At 41.2% G+C, this 8,899-nt stretch overlaps 1 protein-coding gene across 2 annotated transcripts in view; it reads left to right on the top strand.

Moving 5' to 3' along the window:
• SATL1 (spermidine/spermine N1-acetyl transferase like 1) overlaps positions 1-8,899 on the top strand; it is a 151,496-nt gene that overhangs the window by 33,613 nt on the left and 108,984 nt on the right. The window lies entirely within an intron of this gene.

Genomic DNA, 8,899 nt, shown 5'->3' with positions numbered 1-8,899 from the left:
GTACAGAAAAAAAAAACCAGCAGCTAGTTAGTGAAGGCAGGTTTCTCTGGAAGTAGTGACCATCTCAAACTCGGGAGGTAGGGCGACCATATAATTTCTTGTCCAAACCAGAACACTTATGAGAGTGGCAGTGGCAGCAGTTAACGTTTACATTAAAATAACAGGCAGAAGTGTGTAAAGGGACATTTATAGCACTAAATGTCCACAAGAGAAAGCAGGAAAGATCTAAAATTGACACCCTGACATTACAATTAAAAGAACTAGAGAAGCAAGAGCAAACACATTCAAAAGCTAGCACACGGCAAGAAATAACTAAGATCAAGCAGAACTGAAGGAGATGGAGACACAAAAAAACCTTCAAAACACCAGTGAATCCAGGAGCTGGTTTTTTGAAAAGATCAACAAAATTGGTAGACCGCTAACAAGACTAGTAAAGAAGAAAAGGGAGAAGAATCAAATAGACACAATAAAAAATGATGAAGAACAGACAAACAGAGAGCCAAATCATGAGTGAATTCCCATTCACGATTGCTACAAAGAGAATAAAATACCTAGGAATCCAACTTACAAGGGATGTGAAGGACCTCTTCAAGGAGAACTACAAACCACTGCTCAAAGAAATAAAAGAGGACGCAAACAAATGGAAGAATATTCCATGCTCATGGATAGGAAGAATCAATATTGTGAAAATGGTCATACTGCCCAAGGTAATTTATAGATTCAATGCCATCCCCATCAAGCTACCAATGACTTTCTTCACAGAATTGGAAAAAGCTACTTTAAAGTTCATATGGAACCAAAAAAGAGCCTGCATTGCCAAGACAATCCTAAGCCAAAAGAACAAAGCTGGAGGCATCACACTACCTGACTTCAAGCTATACTACAAGGCTTCAGTAACCAAAACAGCATGGTACTGGTACCAAAACAGAGAGATAGACCAATGGAACAGAAATAACACCACACATCGACAACCATCTGATCTTTGACAAACCTGACAAAAACAAGCAATGGGGAAAGGATTCCCTTTTTAATAAATGTTGCTGGGAAAACTGGCTAGCCATATGCAGAAAGCTGAAACTGGATCCCTTCCTTACACCTTATACAAAAATTAATTCAAGATGGATTAAATGTTAGACCTAAAACCATAAAAACCCTAGAAGAAAACCTAGGCAGTACCATTCAGGACATAGGCATGGGCAAGGACTTCATGACTAAAACACCAATAGCAATGGCAACAAAAGCCAAAATTGACAAATGGGATCTAATTCAACTAAAGAGCTTCTGCACAGCAAAAGGAATTACCATCAGAGTGAACAGGCAACCTACAGAATGGGAGAAAAATTTTACAATCTACACATGTGACAAAGGGCTAATATCCAGAATCTACAAAGAACTCAAACAAATTTACAAGAAAAAAACAACCCCGTCAAAAAGTGGGCAAAGGATATGAACAGACACTTCTCAAAAGAAGACATCTATGCAGCCAGCAGACAGAAGAAAAGATGCTCATCATCACTGGTCATCAGAGAAATGCAAATCAAAACCTCAATGAGATACCATTTCACACCAGTTAGAATGGCAATCATTAAAAAGTCAGGAAACAACATATGCTGGAGAGGATGCGGAGAAATAGGAATGCTTTTACACTGTTGGTGGGAGTGTAAATTAGTTCAACCATTGTGGAAGACAGTGTGGCGATCCCTCAAGGATCTAGAACTAGAATTACCGTTTGGCCCGGCAACCCTATTACTGGGTATATACCCAAAGGATTATAAATCATGCTGCTACAAAGACATGCACACGTATGTTTATTGCGGCACTATTCACAATAGCAAAGACTTGGAACCAATCCAAATGTCCATCAGTGATAGACTGAATTAAGAAAATATGGCACATATACACCATGGAATACTATGCAGCCATAAAAAAGGATGAGTTCATGTCCTTTGCAGGGACATAGATGCAGCTGGAAACCAACATTCTGAGCAGACTATCACAAGGACAGAAAACCAAACACCACATGTTCCCACTCATAGGTGGGAATTGAACAATGAGATCACTTGGACACAGGGCAGGGAACATCACACACTGGGGCCTGTTAGGGGGTTGGAAGCTGGGGGAGGGATAGCATTAGGAGAAACACCTAATGTAAATGATGAGTTGATGCGTGCTGCAAACCAACATGGCACATGTATACCTATGTATCAAACCTGCACGTTGTGCACATGTACCCTAGAACTTAAAGTATAATTTAAAAAATTAATAATAACAGACAGATACTGGGACTGTCCTGGTCACCCTACTTTGAAGTCACAATTGGCGGACCCAAAGCTGAGCCTCCCCATGTTCTCCAGAAACATAGTCAATGTGACTTCCACTTTCTTCATCAAAAGAAATTTAACTTCCATGTCTTATTTCAAAAACCTTTGACACACCCTTTTGAGTATTGTATAGGCACAATCAGGGATTCCATTTTTCCACAGCCACAGTGAGGGGGATGCTGTGAGAATCTGGGACAGTTGTGTCCAATGCACCATTAAGCCATGGTTCAGCTTGCAAATTTCAAAGTATAAATATGAAGTCATGTGAAGGGGGCTCATTAGGACATAAGTGTAGGAAAGTGAGCAGATTCCCATTTAAATTTATGATCAAATTGCAAAACATCATCTGCAGGCTGGGAAAAGTAACTAAATGAAGAGAAGTTTGTGGGACTCACTGATAACATTCCAAAGATCAGAAATGTTGTGCACAAGAAGATATGAAGGTACGTCTAATCTATGTGGAACAGCCTGAGTAGGAGCCCTGTGTATTTGAAGTAACAGGCAAAGGAGTTGCACTATTCATTCTCCTCCCTAATGCCAATGAAGTTTTTCCAATTGTTACAGAATAAAGACTGTATCTAGGGAAGCAATGCTCAGAACAAGGAGTACACTGAACAATGGAAGGCTAGATCTGGGTTTCTCAGATGAATTGAAGGCTTTAAAATTTATGATAAAGAATTTCCAGAAGTTCAACAGCACTGCTCAGCCTATCCTACAATTCCCTAATTAATTATTTTTCTACTCTCTGAGACAAATATTTCACTATCTTCTCTCCCTTAAAACCTCCAGCTTCTGCATGTTGTTTATTCCCAGATAACCTCACTTCTTATTTCACAAATAAAGTAGAAACAATCAGAAGAGAACTATTTCATCTTCTCACCACCAAATTTACCAACCTATCTGCCTCTGTATTAATACACTCTGCTGTGAATAAACTTTCTCTGCTTGTATAAAAGACACAGCCTTCCAAATGTTCTCAGGATTCCTCCTCTTCTTGCCTCCCCAGAGCCTTTACTCATGCAATAATTTCCGTTTTGTCCTACATTTACACTTTATTCTTTTCTATTGGATCATTTCTATTAACATATAGATGTGAATTCCATAAAAACCATTAATTCCACATTTTCTCTTAGCCACTGCCTCATTTTTCTGCTGCCTATCATTATAAAACATCTCAAAGAAAGTTGTCTACCCTAATTTTCAACACTCCTTCACCACTCTTTCAGTTTTCAATTTATTTCAGGCTTGCTTCTGTTCCCACCTCTTTGCTGAAAGTGCTTTTGTCAAGGTTATCAACCACCTCCATGTTGCCAAATCTAATAGTAATTGCTCTGTCCTCCTCTGATTTGATCCCTCAGTAGCACTTCTTAATACAGTAGACCTTTCTGTATTTCTTGAAATACTTTCTTCTTTCTCTTTTCTGGTATGCCACCACACTCTCTGGGTTTTTCTCTTATTGCTATTTCTGATTTACCCTAATTCCTTTTACCAACCCAGCTACTTTTTCACTACCTGACCTCTAAGTGTTGAAGTATCTAAGGGCTTGTTACTAAGCTCTTTTTTCCTCTGAATCTATACTCTGGCCGTAAGTCCATTAACATGACTTTAAATAGCACCCATATCCTGATAACAAGTTTATATTTTTCAGCCCATGCTTGTCTCCTGAGATCTATATTCACATATCCAACTGTCTATTCACTATTTCCACTTGGATTTCTGATAGGCATCTCCAGTTAAACATGTCAAAACCAAAATTTTTTATCCTTTCTCACCACCAGCCTCAAACCTGCTCTGCCTCCCATGTTCCTTACCCATCTAGTTACTCAAACCAAAATATTTATGGTCATGCTTGATTTCTGTCTTTCCTTCATGCCCCGTGTTCAGCCAGTCAGCAAGTTTTGTTTGTTCTATTTATAAAACAGACCTCGAAGCCCACTTCTCTCTATCTCCATTGTCACCACTGTAGTTCAAGGCATCATCTCTTTCTTAGACTTCTATCAGATTCTGGACTCTTCTTCCTGCTTATAGTCATGGCCCCTTCCAAACCATCCTCTTTACAACATTTAGAATTATTACCATAGAGGCAGTGCTCCTGTATGACTTTCCACTGAACTGACAACAAAACCAAATATCTTACTGTATCCTACAAAGCCCAGCATGACACATCTACCTTATCAACATTTCAGCCATGTTGAATTTCTTTCTTTGAAAACATCAAGCCCATTTTTTCCTAAGGATTTTTGTAGTAGTTCTTCTCTCTATTTAGAAAGTTGTTTCCCTTTTTATATAGAAGGGTTTTCCTCAGTCTTTATTCTCAATTCAAATATCTCTTCAAACTCTTGCCTAACTTTTCCAATTAATGTTATCCACTCCCAAGTCACTATTACATCATCCTGTTTTATTTTATTTATAGAATTTATCACAATCTGAAATTATTTTATTTACTTGCTTATTTGTTTATTGTCTTCCTTCTCTCCCTTCTTGAATGTAAATACTATGAGGACAAGACTCAATATGAGATACCACTCTTTCACCAATGTATAGAACGGTTTTAGGCATATAGTAGGCATTCAATAAATTTTGTTGAATGAATCAATGAATGATATCTACTGAACAGTGATGAGTGCATTTTTATGCTAAAGACCAAAAGGAATAACATTGGTTCCTTCTCCTATAGAGTCTGTAATCTCAATGCTGTGACCCTATACTTTAATGGTCTCTTGAAATATCCAAGATAATGCTAAGCACAGATGATGAGTAATCTCAGCAATAAATGAGGCAAAGTGAACTCTCAATCAGAACCAATCCACTATCCAGGATCCTTTAATTTTCCATCCTTCTGGCTAACTGCCTTTTGTTATCTTTGTGCCCTCATAAGAAGAATAAGAACAAGAAACACAATTTGTTACTCAAACTAATCAATTTGGCTTCTATTATCAGCTTTAGTCCAAGGTTGGTAGAAGAAAATGTTCTAAAAGGAAATTGGATTACTTTTTTTGTTTGAAGATTTAATACATACATATTTCCTTTAGTCTCACTTCTTGATCAGAACTAAAGATAATTAAGCATTGGGTATTTAAGATCTGGCGAATGAATAGTGGTCACATAACCCCTGTGCGTATTCACAGGGGATAAGTGAGTCAAGGAAATAAAAGAAAGTCAAAGAGGTAATTAGTCTTCAACCCCCTACTCTAGGATTACTCCAACAATTAGAGAGGAATTGTTTCTTTTCCTGTCTTTGCTCCAAATAATAGCCTTATCCAAAAACATAGTGACTCACAGAACCCTATGAGCTCTTCTGGATCAGCTGTGAAGTGAATTTTAACTTTCTCAATGCTCTTTAATGCATGCCAGATAGGCTTGTGAAATGAAAAGAAAAGTTTCACATCCAGGATTTTTAAAAAAAGCCATAAATGTATAGCAAGTATATATAAATGGGAGGAGTGGCCAAGATGGCTGACTAGAAGCAGCTAGTGTGCGTGGCTATCATGGAGAGGAACAGAAGCAGTGATAAATATAACACCTTCAACTGAAACATCCAGGTACTGACATTGGGATTAATCAAGGAAACAACTTGACGCACAGAGAATGAAGAAAAGCAAGACAGGACAACAACCCACCTGGGAGCAACAGGGAGCCAGGGGATCCTCCCCCACTGAGGGAAGCAGTAAGTGAATGAACGACCCTGGGAAACTACACTTCTCCCACAGATCTTTGCAACCCTTAAGTCAGGAGATCTCCTTGCAAACCCACTCCACCAGAGCCTTCAGTCTTCAGTCTGACAGACAGAGCTACATGGAGTCCTGGCAAAGCAGCTGCTCGGGCATGCATGGAGGCCTTTGAAGACTTAGATACTCAGGCATTCCAGCAAAAGTAGCTGCAGCTTTGGCAAAGTGAAAAGTTACACTCCTGTACATACTCCTAGGAAAAAGGCTGAATCCTTGGGGTTGAGCAGCAACAGCCCACAAGCCTCACTTCCACGGCACTACGCAAGATAAGACCCACTGGCTTGGAATTCCAGCCAGCTACCAGTGGCGGCATTGCACCTCACTAAGAAGGAGCTCCCGTGGAAAGGGGCGGGCCGCCATCTTTGCTGTTCAGGTACCTTAGCCATTCCAGCCTTCAGGCTTTGGAGAGTTTGAGCTGACCCGGGGCAGAAGGGATCCTCCAGCACAGCACAGCTGCTCTACCAAAATGTGGCCAGACTGCTGCTTTAAGCAGGTACCTGGTCCTGATCCTCCTCGCTGGGCAGAATCTCCCAACTGGGGTCTCCAGCCTTCCCCACTAGAGCTGTCTAGCTGACAGAGATCTGAATTCTCCCTGGGATGGTACTCCCAGAGAGAGGGGTGGGATGCCATCTTTGCTGTTTGGATGACTTAGCCATTCCAGCCTTTGGCCTTCAAAGTGCTTTGCTCTTTGGGTGACTTAGCCATTCCAGCCTTTGGCCTTCATAGTCTGTGAGGTGACAGGAGGCTGAAGTGGACCCCTAGCACAGCATGGCTGCTCTACCAAAACGTGGCCAGACTGCTTTTTTAAGTGGGTGCCTTTCCCATTCTTCCTCACTGGGTGGGACCTCTCAACTGGGGTCTCCAGCCGCTTCCTGAAGGTGCCTTTGGTCCAGCAACAGGTCCATACCTCCCTGGGACAAAGCTCCCACAGGGAAGGACGGGCTGCCATCTTTGCTATTTTGCAGGCTTCACTGGTGACACACCTCCAGGTTCTGGAAAATCCGAGGTGACTAGGGACTGGAACAGGCCCCAAGCATACCGCAGCAGCCCTATGGAAAGGTGGCCAGACTGTTACGTGGGTGCCCATTCCCGTATCTCCTCACTGGGCAGGTCCTGCAGGCCTGGACCTGCAGCCACCCCCCACCAGAGCTACTGAGCCAGTACCAAATCAGTAACTCTCTGGACAGAGGCCCCAGGGGCAACTGACAGCCACTTGGTCACTGCCTCTACAGTGGAACTGCCCTTGCCACCCTTGGACTAATGAACGAGCAAAGACCTTAAGTGCCCTATCCACCCCTCCAACAAGCTGCAGTTGACCCAAGGAGAGGAGGCCAGTCCATCTCCCTTAGGCCCCGCATACCCTCCATGGCTCATCACCAGAAAGGGAATGCCTGGCTTGGGCCCACAGCACAAACCCTCCATCTTGGGCTGACTGCACTAAGTGATTGCTGACCTGCATCGCTATGGATTGAAGCCTCTAGGAATAAGCGAAGGACCCTTGGCCACAATCCCCACTAGGATTTCTTTCTCTGCTGCCTCTAAGCTGGGGAAGGAGCATAAACACTGAGATTGCCCCAGAGCTGCAGTGCCTAGCATTGGAGTGCCAAGTCACAAACTATAGCCAGCACTCAAGAGGGAGAGGAACCCACACTTTCAGAGCACTGAGAGGGAACAGAGCTGCAACTGTGAGGAAACACAGGGAAGCCATATAACCAAGCAAAACTCTACCAAAGACGTAAAGACAGAAATACCGTTCAAAGACACCAAGAGCAACTTCAACAAAAGCAAAAATTGGCAAATGGGATATAATTAAACTTTGAAGCTTCTGCACAGCAAAATAAACTATCAACAGAGTAAGCCTACAGAATGGGAGAAAATATTTGCAAACTATGTATCTGACAAAGGTCTAATATCCAGCATCTATAGGGAACTTAAATTAAAAGAGATACCATCTCACACCAGTCAGAATAGCTATTATTAAAAAGTCAAAAAATAACATGCTGGTGAGGTTGTGGAGAAAAGGGAACCCTTATACACTGTGGTGGGAGTGCAAATTAGTTCAACCATTGTGGAAAGTAGTGGCGATTCCCCAACAAGCTAAAAGCAGAAGTACCATTCAACCCATCAATGTCATTACTGGGTGTATAGCCAAAGGAATATAAAGCATTCTACCATAAAGACACATGTACATAAATGTTCATTGCAGCACTGTTCACAATAGCGAAGACATGGAATCAACCTAAATGCCCATCAATGACAGACTGGATAAAGAAAATGTGGTACATATACACCATGGAATATTATACAGCCATAAAAGAACGAGGTCATTTCTTTTGTGGAACATGGATGGAGCTGGAGGCTATCATCCTTAGCAAACTTAACACAGGAACAGAAAACCAAATACCGCATGTTCTCACTTATAAGTGGGAGTTCAATGATAAAAATTTATGAACACAAAGAAGGAAGCAGAAGACACTGGGATCTACTTGAGAAGGGAGGGTGGAAGGAGGGAGAGGAGCAGAAAAAATAACTCTTGGGTACTGAGTTTAATACCTGGGTGATGTAATAATATGTACAACAAACTCCCGTGACACATATTTATCTATGTAACCAACCTTCACATGTACCCCTAAACCTAAAATTAAAATTCAAAAAAGAAAGTATATATAAATGGAGTTAAAATAACTCATTGAAAGCATAACTTACAATAGATCAGGGTATACAGTGGCACACGATACAATCTTAAAATTGGGCCTTAAAAGCCAGCAAAATAGAGCCAGAATCTCTATTAATTAAAATTATTGTTAATTAACAGTCCCCTATACTATGTTTAAATTCTCTATTGCCAGA

This window comes from Homo sapiens, chromosome X (assembly GCF_000001405.40).
Source record: "Homo sapiens chromosome X, GRCh38.p14 Primary Assembly".
In the NCBI taxonomy this organism is placed as follows: domain Eukaryota; kingdom Metazoa; phylum Chordata; class Mammalia; order Primates; family Hominidae; genus Homo; species Homo sapiens.
This window is presented reverse-complemented; position numbering and strand designations above follow the sequence as displayed.